This window comes from Homo sapiens, chromosome 8, assembly GCF_000001405.40.
Source record: "Homo sapiens chromosome 8, GRCh38.p14 Primary Assembly".
Lineage (NCBI taxonomy): Eukaryota > Metazoa > Chordata > Mammalia > Primates > Hominidae > Homo > Homo sapiens.
The window spans coordinates 16,106,655-16,127,689 of record NC_000008.11 but is presented as its reverse complement, the minus strand read 5'-3'; the positions used below and the strand labels follow the sequence as shown (position 1 = coordinate 16,127,689).

General features: G+C 36.0%; 1 protein-coding gene across 3 annotated transcripts in view; it reads left to right on the top strand.

Moving 5' to 3' along the window:
• Window positions 1–19,809, top strand: part of MSR1 (macrophage scavenger receptor 1) — an 84,771-nt gene extending 64,962 nt beyond the window's left edge. For 2 of the 3 annotated variants that reach the window (NM_138715.3, NM_001363744.1), the window contains exons 9-10: window positions 7,084–7,272; window positions 17,472–19,809. In NM_138715.3, coding sequence (NP_619729.1) covers window positions 7,084–7,272; window positions 17,472–17,605 — 323 coding nt within the window. In that variant the 3' untranslated portion in view covers window positions 17,606–19,809. The remainder of the gene's footprint in view (window positions 1–7,083; window positions 7,273–17,471) is intronic. The other variant, NM_138716.3, reaches the window with a different exon arrangement.

Genomic DNA, 21,035 nt, shown 5'->3' with positions numbered 1-21,035 from the left:
TAGATATGTTATATTCATTGTGAAGTCAGCTCTTGTGTGGCATTATCTTAACATCTAGCCATGGCTAAGAAAGAATGCCGCATTTTTTCCTTCAAAATAACTCTGTCTCTACTTTTGATCCTGAGCTTTCCCCTTGACAAGCTATTGTGTGTAGAGATAAGATATACTCATTGCCTAACCCGAAAAGATAATTACCAAATGGTGGATAAGACAAGATTTGCTTTAAAAATCTCAGAATGCAGGGTCCAGGGCACTAAAAAGTGGATCAAACTCACTATCTTGTTCAATCATGTTTAGAAATAGTCTTGCTGATTGCTTATTGGGCGGCGATGTATTAGTTTAATTCTTCCATAATGCGAATGATTTGTAACTCTCTAAGTGGTCATATGTATTCTAGTATTGTTCTAGAAGTTGGGCTCAGGATATGGTGAACATCAGAATGACTCGTGAGGCTTTTATCATATAAAGATGCCTGGACATGACACACAGATATTCTGATTTCAGGGAGTTTGTGCTGTGGCCTTGATACATGTGATTTCCAAAAGTTCTCCTTGGGATTCTGAAGCACAAAGTAGTTGAGAAACTGCTATTTAATATATGATACTTTTTTTCTCCCATCACCTATTCCCCATCATTAGGCCAGAAATTTGAATTTTTAAGAAATAATAGTATCAATAATACCTATAATGTGTAGAATGAACCCTCTGTACCAGACACTCTGAAAAGCACTTTATATACCTCCTTTACTTAATCCCCACAAGGAATCTATCACTCTGGTGTTCTCCCCATGAGGATTTAGAACCATTAAGTAAACTGTGCAAAATTATACCTATGGCCGGGTGCAGTGGCTCATGTCTGTAATCCCAGTACTTTGGGAGGCCAAAGCAAGCAAATCGCTTGAGCTCAGGAGTTGGAGACCAGCCTAGGCTACGTGGTGAAATCCCGTCTCTTCAAAAAATACAAAAATATCTCCTCTTGACTCTGTCCCAAATACTTGTCTCCCTGGCTTTAGGAGTAACACAATATGTTATGTTATTTTTCTAGAGAAATTTTCTAGAGAAATTTAACTCAGTTTCTTCAGGTATCTGATATTTGGGTTGCACATTTCATTGCTAAGTATCTCATTAAGGTAATTATCTTAAATAAAGAATCAGTTATCTTCTTAAAGGAATTTTGCCATGTTGTGAGAACTTTCAGGTCAAACTGCAACCAGATTTTTTTTTAATTTCTGTATTATGTTTGCATCTCAAATATCATAACTACCATTGTAATAAATTTAACCCTAAATCCTAATTCCAATAAATGATACAAAAAGGAAATCATGACTATGAGTAAACAATAGGATAATAACTGTTATGCTCCTCAAAAGTCATTTCTATGTTCGATTATTTCTTTCCACTGAGTAGTGGTAATTGACACATGCAAAGAAGACCTTACATGTTCCCTGACTTTTCAAGTTTGAATGTTGTCTTTCTAACAGCGATGAATAGATTCGTAGTATCTTTTCTCTAACTTTTAAGGGTAGACTCATATATGGAACACTTTAAATAATTTGTGCAGGGTTCAGGTATGGCTCTGTGAACATTGCAGTGAATGTGTTGTTTCCTTCTTTAAATAAAATATATTTCAAAAATAAAGAAAAGAAATAATATTTATAATAAATAGCTAATACACAGTCATGTGTACCACTTGGACCTTTGAAATGTTCACATTTACCATCTTGATTACAAGTATTTGTTTTTTAAGAGATATAATTTTGGCTGGGTGCAGTGGCTCATACCTGTAATCACATCACCTTGGGAGGCCAAGGCAGGAGGATCACTTGAGCCCAGGAGTTTGAGGCTGCAGTGAGCTATGACTGCACCACAGCACTTCAATCTGGGAGACACAGGGACACCTTATCTCTAAAGAAAAACTTTTAAAAATTTTTAAAAGAAATACAATGTTATGAGCAGAGTTGAAGTACCAGTATGTCTACCTGTCTTCCTTTCCAGGGTAAACCTTTATCCTGGAGTTTGTTTCCTTCCGTTCATGTTTTTGTGCATTTACTACATATGTATGTACTATTCTTATGTCCCAGTTCTTTCCTAAAGAAAGGATTGAAACTTCTCTGAAACTAGCTAACTCATTGTCATAGAGATGTAAAGAAATGGGACATAAGAATAGTGAGATTGCCTTTAAAAAGTTAAACTATAGAATGAACATTCAATGAATCAGCAGAGATATGTCAAATCATTTTACCTGACTGAATGTATTAACATATATAAAGAAAAATGTGTTAACGAAAGATCATTGGCCATCCCAGAAGCAAAATCTCACTGCTAAGTCTCTTTGTAAATTAATAAATTAATTAAACTAAGAGTTCACTCACTGTGATTTGCCTTCCCATGCAGATTTCCCAAGGGGAGAAAGTGGCCTTGTCAAGCAGATTCAAATATTCCAGTTTTTAAGGCAATTACATTTCTCATTGTAAATTGAATTGACATTTAGTCCCAAGATTCTGTTTAACATTAGTCTGCCTCTAAGAGATAGATCTGCTCACTGAGCTGACAAGATCAGATTTTCTAATGTCTCAGGCTTCTCTGATCAGAGCCTCCCACCAAAAGCTCGTATTTGGAGAGGCTCTCAGTAGCCAGCCATATGGGTTTTTTTCCATAAAAACACTTATGTTTATGCCAGTTAAATCAATCTTTCCTTCATGATTTTTCTGTTTCTACTCATAGAAACTATATTCTATTCCCTCTGAAGACTTATGAAATATTAAATTCAGTTTCTTCTATGATTTGATATTTTAAGCATTTGCCAATTTAATCTCACTGGGTAATGCAGTTCATGTATCAAGAGAAGCTTACCATTCATTTATTTACTCATTCATGCCATAACTCTTCCTCAAGTGACTACTGAGTGACAACTTGCATCTTGTCAGATGCTGAAAAGATGACTATAACGGGTTTCTTTCAGTCTACTGGGGAAAACAAACAAGTTTACTGCAGTTTGGTATAGCATCTGTAATAGTGCTATTGAGTAACCAATCGAAATTTGGAGATTGAGAGTGTAGAAATGAGAGGGGAAGTGGGAAGGGAAGAAGGAACATTCCAGACAGGAACCAAAGCCCCAGAAATAAAGGAGAATGAGACTTATTTGGAAAATGTGAGTAGTTATATATAAAGTAAAAAGACAAAGCAGTGCAGGTGGGGAGAATTTCTCAAGGGTTAGGTTGGAAAGGTGAGCAGAGATTAAGCATGACCTTATTTATTCCACAAGTCACTTGACAAGAGTATTCCCAGGAAATCCTCTATCATTCTCGTCTACTATGTTTGTAATTCTACCAGGGATTCCCAAACTTTTTCTGTAAAGAAACAGCAAATATTTGCATAAATGCACCAAGATTATTAAAATATCTTTTATGGAATGGACTTAAGATTTTTTGTCTGCTCAAAACTCTTTCAACAAGGAAATGCCTCCCCATTCTCACTGTGGGAATGCCATGTTCATGCAAGTGACTCGGCCTGTTTGTCCAGTCCACAGGTGGGCATTTGGCCCAAACTAGGCCATAGAAGAACTTCCCTGGATATTTTAGAAACTATCACTAAGAAATAGGCTGTAAAATATCAAGTTAGGTGAGTGTCAGAACTGTCAGTCTGTCACTGAGAAAGAGACAGTAACTGTCATCAAGAAAGAAACTGTAAAATATAAACTTAGGAGCTGTTAACAGACATGTTCTATCAAGTGAACAGGAGAGCAAAGATATCTAGCTTGCAACAAAAAAAGAATAATAAAGCAACCTACAGAAAGAAGCTTGAGTACAAGTTGGAGACTCCTAAGCAGATTCGGGTCTTGGGTCAGCTATTGCAGATACCTAACTATAATCTTATCCTTGGGTTCTATGAAACATCCAGTGTCCTTAAAATACATTATTATTTTGGTTTTGGTTTAAATTACTTTAGTTTCTGTTTCTGTTTTTTCACCAATTAAAAAATAATAATACACGAAATCGTTTAGGCACATAGTCTATGCTTATCTGTGTTTATTTGATTTGAATGTAGAAAATGTCTACACAAATAAAGAGGAAACAGCTATCCAGACACACACACACACACACACATATACATGTCTTCTGAAATCTTTATATACAAGATAAAAATACCCAAATGGAAAAAAAAAAAGCCCTATCTGACTAAATATATTAGCTTGTTGCCAAAGAAACGACAGACATTCTTTACATCTTTGTGACAGTGAATTAGCTACTTTCAGAGAAGTTTTGATCCTTCAGTCTTACAGAGAAAATCCTATGATCAAGGTTGATGACAAAATGAACTTTTCTACATCACCAAAACAGAGCAGTTGAATAGTAGGTGAAGCCAACTCTCAAATGAGTCTACTGACCTATTGAGACGCCTTTCCTCTATATTACTTCAGAGATGGTCAAGGATCAGCAATGTGTGGTCACCTGTCAATAGTTTATTTATAACTGAAAAATATTTCAGGTGACAGATATGGATCAGCATACCCAAGCATATTTGGCCCTAAAGAATTTGAATAGAGGGCCGGGTGCCGTGGCTTATGCCTGTAATCCCAGCACTTTGGCAGGCCGAGTCGGGCGGATCACGAGGTCAGGAAATCCAGACCATCCTGGCTAACACGGTGAAACCCCGTCTGTACTAAAAAATACAAAAAATTAGCTGGGCGTGGTGGCAGGCACCTGTAGTCGTAGCTACTCCGGAGGCTGAGGCAGGAGGATGGCTTGAACCCGGGAGGTGGAGCTTGCAGTGAGCCGAGATCGCGCCACTACACTCCAGCCTGGGAGACAGCAAGACTCCGTCTCAAAAAAAAAAAAAAAAAAAAAGAATTTGAATAGAGGTACCTACTCCCCCTCAGGATCCCTTGAGCATACGGAATTTGGCAGAAATTTACAGTCAGCCATTCCCTTTGCAATAAATGAGATGAAAGGATTGTATCAGCAGCACTATCTGTTTCTGATATAATATGTCTCCTCTTCTAAATATATACTGCAATCATCTAGGTTAGTGGTTCTCAAAGTGTGGTCCCTGGACCAACAGAATTAGCTGTTGGGAGCTTGTTCTGCTGCATATTATTCTTTGAGAACCACTGCTCCAGGACAAGCAAGGCTCATTTATGACATTTTGGAAGGAGTAAGAGGTAAACAATGGGCAGTGAGAATGCTTACATTCACTTGTTTGGACAACAGGACAACGATGCTCATATAATCAAATGTTTGAGTATGCCTGATTTTTCATAGCATGCATGCATGATAAATATATTATGTTTGGATATATTTGACTTGTATAAAAATAAACATTTGGATATCACACTAGTTAATAAAACATGTCTCTAATATGTAAAGGCTTCTCACAATCCATTCTTGGATTTTTCTTTCTCGTTTTCTTTAGGCAATTACAGGAAATGATTGGGCCACTCAGGAATTTTACTAGTAAATGAAAGTTGAAATACTATAATAACAAATTATTTTCATGTTTTAAAGTGTTTTTAACTTATGCTTATTAAGTGAAGAAGGACTTATCCACTCAGGCATGCTTACACTAAATCAGTATTTAGCACTGAATTATATTTTGGAAGAATCAAGAGAATAATTATAATTATATATATAGTAACATGCCACCTTTTATGTTTCTGCATAGCTCAGGTCACTCAATTTCATTACAGGAAATTGTCAGTAATCTAATAACTTTAAATGTTATTAAATTACTGTTAAAACAGTAATAAGCATAAGTTAAAAACATTTGTTGAAACAGTAATCTAGTAACTTTAAATGTTATTAGATTACCGTTCTAACAAAATGAATTCAAACTGGAGAAAAAGAAGTTACTGAATATTTCTTCAATTAATTGAGCTCCAAAAACCCATTCCTTAAAACTCCATTTTCACATTAGAGAGATATTTTTGTTATGAAAATTACATCTTTTTTATAATATAACATTCCTCAAACTTATATTTGAAAAGCTATCTTTTGTTTACGTAGAATTACATTTATTAGTTTTTATGATTATTAGAAAATATTATTTTTATTTAATATTAACTAAATTTTTAAAAATAATTTTTCATCTCTGCCTTTCATTCTGTTCTTTAGCCAAATAATTTTCTAAACAAATACTTAGCAGAATAATACAGGCTGTTGAGAGATTTTTCATACGCCAAGTGAATTGCTCTTATAATATTTGTTGCACTATTTTATTTAATCTGTCACTAGGTCAAAGTGCATATATATTGGTTTTTAAAAATAGAAAAGAGCCATTTCATATTTATGTAAATCTTTCTGTAGCATGATCAAGATTTTACAAAAGTTTATTGTACATATGGTCATTTTGATTAGACATTACAGAACAAAATTACTTTTATAATTATAAACAAAGTTTATTTCTTTGTAGTTTACTATTTGAATCACTTCTAAAAATAAACAAAATTGTCTGATTTTTTATCTCGTTAATATTTTTTTCTAAAGAGGAAAAACACAAAAATCTTTGTTACAGAATCCAGGAACCTCACAACAAGGAAAGTCTTTGCTATTTCTAAATGAAGGTTGTCACTATAGTTCCCTTGTTTCCCTTGGGAAAAGATATGAAGTTTGATCACCTATTTTTGTGTTTATGATATTCTAAAATATCTGCTCCTCGCCCTCCTATAGTATTGAAAATCTCTGCATTGTATGTTGATAAGTTTGTATGTTTGTATGTCAAGAAAATAATGAACCATTTAGTTATAATTTTTCAATGGTATGAAAAAATCTAAGTGACAATAAACTTGTATCTGTCAAAATTCAAACTCGTTGGAATATAATCTGTGACGTGTCCTCGTATATATAACTTACATGTAAGACAGATTGGATTTTGCTCTTAACAGCTGTTAAAGCTGCAATATTTGCAGTTAAACTCTTTACCAATAGGTGGTGCTAGAAAGTTTAATATTTATTCCAATAGTTGAAGTTATTTGGAAAATGTGCTAAACATTTTTTTGTGTTTAAAAAAAAAGTGCTGTAAAGCAGTATGTACATAATTAGTCCTTGCTTGCCTTTTTTTTTTTTTTTTTTTTTTTTTAACTTTACAGCTCCATTTACGAAAGTTCGACTGGTCGGTGGGAGCGGCCCTCACGAGGGGAGGGTGGAGATACTCCACAGCGGCCAGTGGGGTACAATTTGTGACGATCGCTGGGAAGTGCGCGTTGGACAGGTCGTCTGTAGGAGCTTGGGATACCCAGGTGTTCAAGCCGTGCACAAGGCAGCTCACTTTGGACAAGGTAATTTAAAGAAAATCTTGTGAGGTTTGTTGTTGTTGTTTCAGACAGAGTCTCATTCTGTCGCCCAGACTGGAGTGCAGTGGCGCGATCTCGGCTCACTGCAACCTCTGCCTCCCGGATTCAAGCGATTCTCCTCCCTTAGCCTGCCTAGTAGCTGGGACTACAGCCGCGCGCCACCACACCCGGCTCATTTTTTGTATTTTTAGTAGAGATGGGGTTTCACCGTGTTAGCCAGGATGGTCTCGATCTCCTGACCTCGTGATCTGCCCGCCTCGCCAACCTAAAGTGCTGGGATTACAGGCGAGAGCCACCGCGCTTGGCCAGAAAATTTTGTTTTTAAAAAAATGAAATGTAGGCATTCTCTAAAGACAGAGAATAAAGTAGTGACAGGAACATAGTCTAGGCTTGGTACAGTGGCTCACGCTTGTAGTCCCAGCACTTTGGGAGGCTGAAGTGGGAAGATCACTGGAATAAATGAGTTCAAGACCAGCGTGGACAACATAGTAAGATCCTATCTCTACCAATTAAAAAAAAAAAAAAAAAAAAAGCCAGGCGTGATAGCATGCACCTGCAGTCCTAGCTACTACAGAGGCTGAGGTGGGAGGGTCGCTTGGGCTCAGGAGTTCCAGGTTACATGAGCTATGGTCACGCTGCTGCACTCCAGCCTGGGTGACAGAGCAAGACCTGTCTCTGAAAAACAAATTTTTACAGAAAAGTAGAAAAAGGTAAGATGAACTTCTCAAATGCCTAGAAGATATTACCAAGTGCTAATATGCTATGATTTATTGAGTAATGACTATATGCCACGCATTGTGTTAAATACCTGCATAGCGTTAATAATAGGTCACAATCACATCCTTTACTATTTTACCTAAAATAATTTTCATATTAGGCTGGGCATGGTGGCTCACACCTGTAATCCCAGCACTTTGGGATGCTGAAGGTGGGTGGATCACTTGAGGTCAGGAGTTCGAGATCAGCCTGGCCAACATGGTGAAACCCCATCTCTACTAAAAATACAAAAATTAGCCAGGCATGGTGGTGCACGCCGGTAATCCCAGCTACTTTGGAGGCTGAGGCAGGACAATTACTTGGACCCAGGAGGTGGAGGTTGCAGTGAGCCGAGCTGCACTCCACCCTGGGTGACAGAGTGAGATTCCGTCTAAAAAAATAATGATAATAATTATCATATTAGGTTTAAGAGATGGATTTAAGCAGAAGTCTCAGGTTCTAGAGTCTTTAGGTCCCAGAAGGATAATTTAATTTCATGAAGAGAGGAGATGTCAGAAAATAGACTGGTAATGTGCAGAACTTCTGTAGCCAGTTTCAGCCCCTGGCCGTAGTTTTTAACTTGCACCCTAAAGGTTTACATAGAAGAAACAAAGGAAATAAACAGCTTCAGAGAGATCTGTGGAGTTTCCAAATTTTCCATCCCTGTCCCATATTTAGAACATTTTTCCCAGGTTGAAAAGTGTGGGTTTGAAATCATTCTTGCACCTATAAAATTTATCTCCAAAAGTAAAATAGTAAGATATTCTCAAGGTCAACAGCTAGATTTTTGCTTTTGTTTTCTTTGTTTTTCTTTTTTGTTTTTCTGGAGAAGAGGAAAAAGAAAAAATCCTCAACTCTTCATCCCTAGAGAATTGAATGATGCCATCAGTTATTTAACAAGACTGAGCTCCCAATCTGAGTTTCCACATTGGTTTTCTGTTTTGTTTTTGTTTTTGTTTTTTTGGTTTTGGAGACAGATCTCCCTCTGTCACCCAGGCTGGAGTGCGGGGTGTAATCTCGGCTTACTGCAACCTCTGCCTCCTGGGTTCAAGTGATTCTCCCTCCTCAGCCTCCTGAGAAGCTGCGACTACCAGCATGCACCATCACACCTGGCTAGTTTTTGTATATTTGGTAGTTATTTTTGGCTTCCCAAAGTGCTGGGATTACAGGTGTGAGCCACGCCACCCAGCCCACGTTTCCAAATTGTTTTGTGGGAACAGAATCCATTTCTATGATAACTAACATCCACAGAATGAAAGACCATTTATTTAAAATACATAATTGTATAAAACATTTCAAGTGACTGTTACCATCTATGAAGGGGACACCCACAGTTCTAATAGAGGACATAACGAGTCTTATCCATGCTCTTAGTCACCTGGTAAATGACTGATGATTCTTCAGCTTTAGAAATAAAAGATGTTTTGGATTCTCAAGATGTGCTTTTGTTGACAAAATGAAGTATAAAATTTGCCAGTTATTTAGATAATATAATCAATGCAGACAAGCTCAGTATAAAAAAAAGAAAAGTATCCTAAAATACCACTAGTCTGGATGAATTATTTTGATGCTTATATTATGCAGAGATCTGACAAGTCTGTATTTAGCATTGTTTCTTTAAGACAGTGGTTCCCAACCTTTTTGGCACCAGGGACCAGTTTTGTGGAAGACAATTTTTCCACAGACCAGGGATGGGAGAAGGTTTGGGGATGGTTCAAGCACATGACATTTATTGTGCACATTATTTCTATTATTATTATACTGTAATATATAATGAAATGATTATACAACTTATTATGATGTAGATTATTCCACTCACTATGTGGAATCAGTGGGAGCTCTCAGCTTGGTTTCCTGCAACTAGACGGTCCCATCTGGGGCTGATGGGAGACAGTGACACCTGAAGTGTGTTGCTTATGTACAGTCTACTCCATAATCTCACTTTGGTTGCTATCACTGTAGAAAACCCTGCTTCACTAAGATAGCATGTTGGAAATGGAAGCAGGCTTTTCAGTGCTTTTGTGGCAATTTCAGGATATTCTGCTTCGAAAGTTTAATCCAGAATGTATGGAAATTTGAAGTTGTCTCAAACATACCTTTAAAGGCACCAAAAGCAGCTGTACAACTGAAGTACATCAACTCACTTTCGACTCTAAAGCCTGCCATCAGATGCAGCTTGTCACTTTCCACTCACTGACAGGGTTTTTGATATGAGTCTACAAGCAATTGATTTACTATTGTCTCTGTGCCGTCACACCTCTCTGCTAATGTTAATCTTTATTTGCAGCCGCTCCCCAGCTCTAGCATCACGGCTGCAGCCCCACCTCAGATCATCAGACATTAGATTCTCATAAGAAGCGTGCAACCTAGATCCCTCACATGTGTAATTCACAATACGGTTTGTGTTCCTATGAGTATCTAATGCTGCCACTGATCTGACAGGAGGTGGCACTCAGGCGGTAATGTGAGTGATAGGGAGCGGCAGTAAATACAGATGAAGCTTTGCTCACTCACCTGCTGCTCACCTCCTGCTGTGCAGCTTTGTTTCTAACAGGCCATGGACACTATTGGTCCATGGTCTGTGGGCTGGGGACCCCTGCTTTAAGAAACTAGCCCAGTAGTACAGTGGCTGAGGTGAGGCTTTTTCATCTATTACAAAGAGAAAATCAAATGGAGAGCAACAGTAGTAGTATATGTACTTTAATTCAAGGAAAGCTAGTAAGTGCTGGCAACATACAGCCTGTAGTATGAAAGTGAACAAGACGTCATCTCTAGCTTTATTTCTTCTCTGAGCATGAAGCTTTGCCATGGACTTCAAAGATATTTTTCCACTGGAGTTACAAACATAGGTGAGAAAAACATAGCTGAAGACTATTGTCCTAAAATTGTATTAACTTTAAGGCTTAGTCTCATGAGTAAAATAGTATTTTCCTCAAAACTTTTATTCATTCCTGCTTATATCTCTATAAAGTAGGGATTTCTGGTCTAAAGAACTGGTAAGAAAGGAAGATAATAAGTATACTGAGATACTAAGAAGAAAATGGTTTTTTTTAAACTTAAATAAGGAATAGAATGACAGAGTTTAGTCTCATGTGAAGTTACTTACTTGGCTATGTGGAGATAAGTCTCTCAAGTTTTCTTGACATAATTTGTCTAAATTTTCAGGAGGCTGTTTGTTTATGGTAGTTGGTGATTCTATACATTGTCCCAGAGTTTTATTATCATCAAACAATAAAGTGGGTCAGGATTTTGGTTTCCTTTTACATTTTTTCAGCATCTAGTGAAGCAAACTGGAAAGATTAGGAGTTTTCTAACTTAAAAAATTGCAAGTTTAAATTTTAGCTGTGGTTATTGTGTTTCAGAATTTCAATTTCCTTTCCAATAAAATGAGAATAATACTGACCTGGCAGATTTGTTTTGAAGCTTGAGTTAACTAGCATATGGAAAGCACCCAGTACAAAATCTGACTCACAATGTTGTATTGCTCACTACTGAAGGAGATCACTGCTAGCAGCAACACAAACTGTGTTATCACACATTTATTTGCTATTCTCTTTGAAAGAGTGAGATCGCTATTACATTGTATATTGACATCAGTGATATTCCAAGGCTAATTCAAAGTAGATATCCCACTAATATGACTTAGATTTTTTATTTTATAGACAGGGTCTTACTCTGTCACCTAGGCTGGAATACAATGGTACAATCACAGGTTAATGCAGCCTCAAACTCCTGCTCTCAAGCGATCCTCCCACCTTAGCCTGCAGAGTTTCTCGGGACCACAGGCCTGCACCACATACCTGGCTAATTTTTTTTTAAATCTTAATTTCTTATAGAGACAGGTTCTTGCTAAGTTGCTCAGGCTCATCTAAAACTCCTAGCCTCAAGCAATCCTCCTGCCTCAGCCTCCCAAAGTACTGGAATGACAAGTGTGAACCACTGCACCTGGTTTGACTTAGCTGTTGTTTCCACTCCCTGCGTAGAGTTCAGTACCAAACAACTAAAGAATAATTATGAGAATTTTAAAATAATAAAGCAAAATGAGCTGAGAGAAAAAAATAGAACCAACATTATTTGTTCTGAAGAAAATGATTTGAAAAGTAAGTTTTATGATCTACTTCACTGGATATTGTATTTTAAGAGACAGGCTTACATTATTCACTGATTGGGGATTAGACATGGCAAACGAGGTTTTTATGGAAAGCTATTTAAAACATTCCTGATTTTTTCACTCCTCCACCTTAAATTCACAGTTTCACTCAAGAGGAAAAGAAAAAGCAATTTTAAATACAGAGTAGAGACAAGAAAAGAAACTTAGAAAAATGAGTGGATGAGTAAAGAACTAAAAGAGAAACATGCATTGTTTTAATTATTTATCCTTCTCTTAGGAAAGTGAGAAGAATCAGGTTCATATCATATTGTACATCATTACCAAAATTGAAACAAAAAGAAAACAATTTTTTTTTCGAGATGGAGTTTCGCTCTTGTTGCCCAGGCTGGAGTGCAGTGGCACAATCTCGGCTCACCGCAACCTCTGCCTCCCAGGTTCAAGCGATTCTCCTACCTCAGCCTCCCAAGTAGCTGGGATTACAGGCATGCACCACCACACCCAACTAATTTTTTGTATATTTAGTAGAGACGGGGTTTCTCCATGGTGGTCAGGCTGGTCTCGAACTCCTGACCGCACGAGATCCACCCACCTCAGCCTCCCAAAGTGCTGGGATTACAGGCATGAGCCACTGTGCCCAGCCAGAAAACAATTTAAATGAACCCTCTTTTTATAATGCACCATTATAGAAAGAATATAATTTTTGGACAGTCTCCACATATTTTTTTCTGGTTTTAAATAGCAAACCTGGCTTAGCAGATAGAATCCTTAGTTTTAAGAACAATTAGTTTTGCAGCTGCAGGTAAAATGACTTATAGGAATAAAGTTTCAAGCATGCTCCTTTAAATAGGTTCTCTCATTTGGATGCACCTTTTTTTCTGACTAGACAAAACAAGTTTAATTAAGGAAGCACTGAGGGGCATCTACTGTTTATCAATGCACAGGGCAGGGAAAGGAGAGTGAGTCACTTTTTGCCCCGTATCCAGGCTTTCCCAGCTATTGTGCCTGTGGTCTCCCTGCAGCAAACTTGGATGAGTTTTATCATACAACAGTGGTACCTCCAAGAATTTGTTCCAGGTATATCTGAGCCTGTATGGATGCTGATGAGGGAAGTAAGATCTGGAGTAACTATTGCTTCTTCTCCTGAGTTTATAGTGCTGAAACTCCAAACCTGAAAAGAGAAACAAAAGTAATATATAAACATAAATGCCATTTAAAAGTTATTCTTAGCTGTCTTTTCTTTGCTTTTTTATTACCACTTTTACATACCATAATCAATTTTCTATGTGAAATTTTCAAAAAAAAAATGTAAGGGTAAACAGAAGGCAATCAAAAAATGCACCTCTATACCTCTGAACTATCCCTTAATGAATGGGAGTAAATATAATCTCAAAGATAAATAAATATATCAAAGGGTCACAAGTCAAATTTTTACATACTGCTCCTTGCATGTTGAATGTTTTAAAATGTAAACATTTGAATGTTAAATATTATGGAAAGTAGTATAGGGCTGGTCCATACAGCTGGGTAATCACAGAAAAATAGCATATTTTTTTCATAGAGAAAATAAGTAGGGCTAGCAGAGGTCATCAAAGTTGTACAAATTTACGTAGTCATTATGGTGGTTGGGGGTGGTTGGGGGTGGGTGGGAGTGGGAAGAAGGGTCAAGATTCATGCCTTAACCTTTCTCTCATACCATGCTTTCTCCACCAGATGGAACATCCTTCCAAGTCCTTTATACTTAAGATCTTCATTTCTAAAGAGCTTGCTTCTTCAGAATCTTAGTATCATGAAATATTAAAGGTAGACAAAGTCTTAAAGCTATGTTAGCCTTACTCCTTTATTCTGCATATCATAAAATTGAGGAAAAATGAGTGGTTTCTCTATAAGCACAAAACTACAATCCAAACTATAGGCTATATTGACCCATTCTTCTCTACTTTGATTCCCAAGGTGTTTTCAACTTTAATTTACATTGTTTTTCTCAATGGAGACACTGTTCACAAAACACTTCCCAACTAGGCTTAAAAGTCATACAAATTTATGTCACTCAGTCATGACTAGAAATAATGAAAATACACATTCAGGCACTTTTAACTATTAATGATATTTGCTCTCCCATTTATCTATTCAGCAGCTGATCTCAAATCTCATCATTTTATAATATATCTGGATGATGTATGAAACTGATTACCTTTTATTTTTCATGGAAATGCTGGTAAGATTAAAGATACCCAAATCCCCCAAAGAAATATCAGTATCTTTCATTTTTTAAAAAGAGGTGAAGAGGAGGTCAGGCACAGTGGCTCACCCCTGTAATCGCAGCACTTTGGGAGGCTGAGGTGGGTGGATCACAAGGTGAAGAGATCGAGACCATTCTGGCCAACATGGTGAAACCCCGTCTCTACTAAAAATACAAAAATTAACTGGGCGTGGTGGTGCACACCTGTAATCCCACCTACTCAGGAGGCTGAGGCAGGAGAATCATTTGAACCCAGGAAGCGGAAGTGCAGTGAGCCGAGATCACGCCATTGCACTCCAGCCTGGGCGATAGAGGGAGTGAGTCTCTGTCTCAAAAAAAAAAAAAAAAAAAAACTTAAAAAAAATATATAATCAATATCAATCCCTACAACCCTCAAATTATAAAGGAAATCATAGATATATATATGGCTAGGTATATAGGTGGAAAGATGAGAGAGAGAGAAAGAGAGGAAGAGGATTAGAGATTAAAAACATATCTAAGAAACACACGTAATTTTTGTATAGCTTTCCACCGAATAGAAAGAATAGTTCAGAGGCACAAAAAAAATAATAACAGTGACAGCCCCAACAACGAAGATCCTTGAATAACAGTTATTATCTAAAGAAATAAAAACAAATTTGTTTTTTATCTCATTGGTTTACACAAGGATAAAATTTTATGAATTTTATACTATCTGCATTAACTTTTTAATGCAGAAAACAATTTGGAATGAGACGGAAAATGTGTATTAAATAAATTTTTCCCCTGGGCTCAATAGTCTTGAATATATTAATATAAAAATAAAACAACAAATCTTTGGAAATTACTTCTATAATTCTATCTAGACATCTATGTAACCCATGAATATCACTAAGCTTTAAGTGTCATCATGTTCTGTTGCCTGGATCTATTCTTTGTAAATTTGAGAAAGTCATACACCCTTTCTCAGTCTCAGTTTATGTATCTATGAAATGGAGATAATTATCATTATTTAACAAGGTTATTATAAAAAGTAAATTTAGAAATGTATGTGAAAAGACCTAGCATATTACCTTATACACAAGCACTTAAAAAATTTTCACTGTGTCTGAAACTGTTCCACATAGCAAAAGACAGAGATACCAAATTCCACAATACATTTGTCACATCCATGTGTCCTCAGAGGAAAAATAACCAGAATAAGAATCAGAGGCTCTAGATGCCAGTATTTGCTCTGGCATGATTGTATATGTGATCTCAGTTGCTTCATCTACCTAGAACATAAGCCCTCCCAGGAAGTCAGTCCACAAGAGTATGGAGTTTGGTCTTGTTCACTCGTGTAGGCACCAAAGGAGATTTGCTAAATAAGTAAGTCTAATAATGAAGGAGGTTGCAGTAAGTCATTGATTTAAGGCAGTGGCTCAGGGTGGATACAGGGTGAGAATCCTGTGCGACTTTGAGCACGTACAGTTCCTTATCCTTGCTGATTTTCAGTTTCCTCAACAGTAAAATGACACAATAATGGCATTCAGTTTTTGAAAGTTATTTGAGGATTGCATGGAATAATACATCACATGTATAAGTGTTTCCTGCCACATAAGAAATTCTTAAAAGACTGGACTTAAATTTTCATTATCAGGACCACAACCTTGGTATTCTAACATTCGTGAATTCCCTTACTGCAATTTCTAAAAACATGTGCTTACATGTCAGCACATTAGTCAACTAAATAATTTCTTTCCTTTGCTATTCATGTTGGGATGGCCTTGCTGGTGCTGTAGACATTGGGAGAATTCCCACTCTCAGTTTCCTTTTCCTGGATTGTACAAATTCTGCACTGCTGAAATCTAAATTCACTGAGTAGACCTACAAAATACAATTCGAAAGCATCACAGTAGCCCGGGTTCACAATTCATGGAGCCATTCTCGCACTCTCCAAATTATGACAGAGCCATGGCTTTCACCAAAAGTTTAATTTCTGTTTGTTTATACAATTTATAAATGACAATAAATATAATAGATATAATTTATAAATGTCTCGTACTTCGGCTTCCTCCTGTATTAACATGGGAATAGTCTTACTATTTGTGCAATTGTTTTTATTTGCCTGTATTTTTAAGTAGCCCTTTGAGGCTTTCAAAAAGTTTTTATAGACTTTATATACTTATAAGGAAACACAGATATACAAATACGTATACACATACAAACATGCTCACACATACAATCACAAACACAATAGGAAACATGCCATGCCTAGTAAGATAATTTGGGAACTAAAAAGTGTCCCTGGCAAGGTTTCTGATTTTGAGATCATATTCCTTTTTTCTTTTCCTTCTTCTGCCTTAAAATTTCAAGTAAAAAAGCCTCAATACTGTTATAAACACCTCAAAAAATACTTGGGCTCTCCAACTTACTGTTAACACTCTTACAATTGATCAGCTCAGGAAAACCTTTGCTTTGTCATTTTCTTGCTGTTTGTTTGTGTTTGCAATCAGTAGCATTCTTAATCCATGATTTCCTTACAGGATGGTGTGTAGGCCCTTTGCTGATTAGATTAGTTCTACTTTAATTAAAAACAGATAATGTATTTGATAAACCAGGCACACATAAATTGAAATACACGGGAAGATAACAAAAGGAGGAAGATGCTGATATTAAGTTTTCCTTTTTCCGGTTTATTTTATGTGCAAATATACCCCAAGACCCTTTGACATACAGATACGCTTGGATCATCAGGTTATTACATGTACCCATGATTATTAAGGCTCAAACTTTCTTCTTTATTTTTAGATTAATAATAAAACTAATTTGTCAAATCCTTAAAAAAACATTCTTAATCTCTACTTTTATAGAACTGTGTAGGTAACTTTGTTAGAGCTCTTCTTACTTTGCATTTTAGTAGTTTACATGTTAACAGAGTATAAAGTGTTCTGAAGCAGGAGATTAATTTTTGATTCCTACTAGAGAGCACAGAACTTGCATACAGAAAATAATCAACACTTTTTTGTTTAATTAGTGAAGGAATTAATGGCTTTGCCCCACTCAAAGAGAAACACTAAACTCTAAACTTACTAATGCAGTTATACCTCATTATTGCAGGTACTGGTCCAATATGGCTGAATGAAGTGTTTTGTTTTGGGAGAGAATCATCTATTGAAGAATGTAAAATTCGGCAATGGGGGACAAGAGCCTGTTCACATTCTGAAGATGCTGGAGTCACTTGCACTTTATAATGCATCATATTTTCATTCACAACTATGAAATCGCTGCTCAAAAATGATTTTATTACCTTGTTCCTGTAAAATCCATTTAATCAATATTTAAGAGATTAAGAATATTGCCCAAATAATATTTTAGATTACAGGATTAATATATTGAACACCTTCATGCTTACTATTTTATGTCTATATTTAAATCATTTTAACTTCTATAGGTTTTTAAATGGAATTTTCTAATATAATGACTTATATGCTGAATTGAACATTTTGAAGTTTATAGCTTCCAGATTACAAAGGCCAAGGGTAATAGAAATGCATACCAGTAATTGGCTCCAATTCATAATATGTTCACCAGGAGATTACAATTTTTTGCTCTTCTTGTCTTTGTAATCTATTTAGTTGATTTTAATTACTTTCTGAATAACGGAAGGGATCAGAAGATATCTTTTGTGCCTAGATTGCAAAATCTCCAATCCACACATATTGTTTTAAAATAAGAATGTTATCCAACTATTAAGATATCTCAATGTGCAATAACTTGTGTATTAGATATCAATGTTAATGATATGTCTTGGCCACTATGGACCAGGGAGCTTATTTTTCTTGTCATGTACTGACAACTGTTTAATTGAATCATGAAGTAAATTGAAAGCAGGACATATGAGAAAACTGACCATCAGTATATTTGTCCAGATAATTGGTGGATCAAAAATGCCACTTAACAGGAAGTTTAGTTTGTTATGCACTTTAAATGGAATAATTAGCTTGTTACAATTCTAGGACATGGTGTTTAAAATTTAAATCTGATTAATCCATTTTAACAAACAATGCAAACATCTTCAGTGCAGAAGGAAGAGTGGTTTCAACTGTTTGGAGTCTTTTATGAAGTCAGTCAACATTTACAACCAAAGGGCGGGGGGGGGGGTGGGGGGTGCGTCTTTAGTCCTAAAGGGACAATAACTCTGAGCATGCCCCAAAAAAGTAGTTTAGCAACCTTTTGTTGGTAGTCAACCCATCCCCAGGGCCATAGTGTAGAGTGTGAAAAGCTACCCTGAAACCCAGTAATTCTACCCTGAAAGTGACTGCCTGCAGAAAGACCAGCAGTTGATATTAAAGCGCAAATGAATTCAACCTCAGCCCTGAAAATAACAGAATTCTGAAGTTTCCTATGACTAATTCACAAAAAAAGTAATTGTAAACTAGTACTATTATGGAATTACTCTACTGTTCTTTCTTTAATAGTGGCAAATGAAAGCATAAGCTTAAGCATTTTTTCATATTCTGAAGTCTCACCACACATAATAACCAAGTGGTAGACTCACAGCCGTCCAACTTAAAAAGGCAAAACCTTACCTTGGAATTGGAATTACTGTAAACAGCCTACTGAAAATGCATTTTTATCATGTAACATTCTTCTACTTGTTTAACATTGCTGATTTTCTCTGGCAGCATAATTTTGTGGTTAAGAGAATGAATTCTGAATGTACACTTTCTGTCTCAAACCCTGGCTGTAATTTCAGCTAGTTAATAATTCTTTGTGTTCAGTTCCACTATCTAGGTATTTTCTTCAAAAGGTAAATACAATGGTTTCTGAAAGAATCATTTGCATTATCAGCCTGTTTGGGATGTCTGAGATCAGTGCCTCTGGGTTGTTAATACTGTATTGCTGTATGGTATATGTATGCTGATTTACTACTTATGCGTAAGTGGTATGCATGGGATGTCTGAAATCAGTGCCTATGGGTTGTCAATAGTATTAACTATTAGTGTTAACTGTTAGTATTAACTATTAGTATTATTAACACTAATAATAGTACTATTACTATTACTATTTTTATTTTAAAATAAAATTTACCTTTAAAATAATAATAGTACTATTGCTAGTACTAGTACTATTGCTATTACTAGTACTATTACTAGTACTAGTACTATGACACTGTTAATAGTACTATTAACAACCCATAGGCACTTGGGATGTCTGAGATCAGTGCCTATGGGTTGTTAATACTATATTGCTGTATGGTATATGCATGCTGATTTACCACTTATGCATAGATATATCTTTAATAAGTAATCTAAAAATCCTTTTTGTATTTGAGAGAATCTACTAAGTTCAGTCCAGTCAAGAAAAGAACCTAATAGCACCAATACAAATTGAGGACTTAATTTACTTTGGAATGTTGAATTGCATTTGTTCCATTAAAAAAAACAGAAATTTGCGATTTGGTTTTTTTGAAAAAATAGCTCAGCTGACCAGAATGAATGTATTCTACTTGTTGAGCCATCCAGCATCACGTTAAATGCAAAATGTATATATAAATAAAAGAAGAAGAAAAAAGAAAGACCAAAGGGATGTAGAAAATGAAGAATAACCATTAATATCTAAGGGCCAAACACATTCCACCTAAATTATCTAAATAGTTTCAAATCAAAACTTTCCATTTTTTCAAAACGTATAGACCATAGTAGTTTGTACTTAAGTAAAGCATTACATTAATTTGTAATGTGCCTATTACAAATAATATACAGTTGACCCTTGAACAATGCAGAGGTTGGGAGCACTGATCCCTTCACAGTGAAAAATCCACATATAACTTTTGACTCCCCCAAAACTTAGCCACTGAGAGCCTACTGGTGACCAGAATCCTTACCAATAACATAAATAGTCAATTAACCATTTTTGTATTACTAATAATGTCAACTAACACATTTTATATGCATGATGTACTGTATTCTTACAAAAAAATAAACTAGAGGAAAGAAAACTTTAATTAAATCATAAGGAAGAGAAATATATTTACTATTAATCAAGTGGAAGTGAACCATCATAAATGTCTTCATCCTTCATTGTTGTTTTCATATTGAGTAGTCTGAGAAGGAGAAAGAGGGGGAGTTGGATTTGCTGTCTCAGGAATCGTAGAGGTGGAAGATCCATGTATAAGTGGAACAGTGCACAGTTCAAACACATATTGTTTAAGGGTTGACTGTAATAATATTTGCTATGAAGGGTAAAATGAAATATTTCTACCCTCAGTCATTTGTTTGATCAGTATGGCAGTGATATGTATGTCCAAAGCAATCACACTCAAGAGATACAAATTTACCATCACTGGGTTACAATGGTAAGCATTATTTACTCTCCGGAGTTGGAGAAGCTCAAGGCTGGTGAAGCTCAAGATCTCATGTTAACTAAATAAAATCAAGATTATGGCAGAGAGGAGGAAAAAGTCAATGTTTGTCAGGTAGACAATTAACAATGTTCCCTCAGAAAAGCACAATTAGGAGATGATTACGTTGAGATTTTTTTAATTCATTGAGACAGTATATAGGAATTTTAGGAACATGTGTTTGGCACTAGATGTGGTTTTGGCTTTTAATCACACATAAAACCATAATATAGCCTGATTTTTTTCAACTATGCATTTTCTTTGCACTTTTTCTTTAT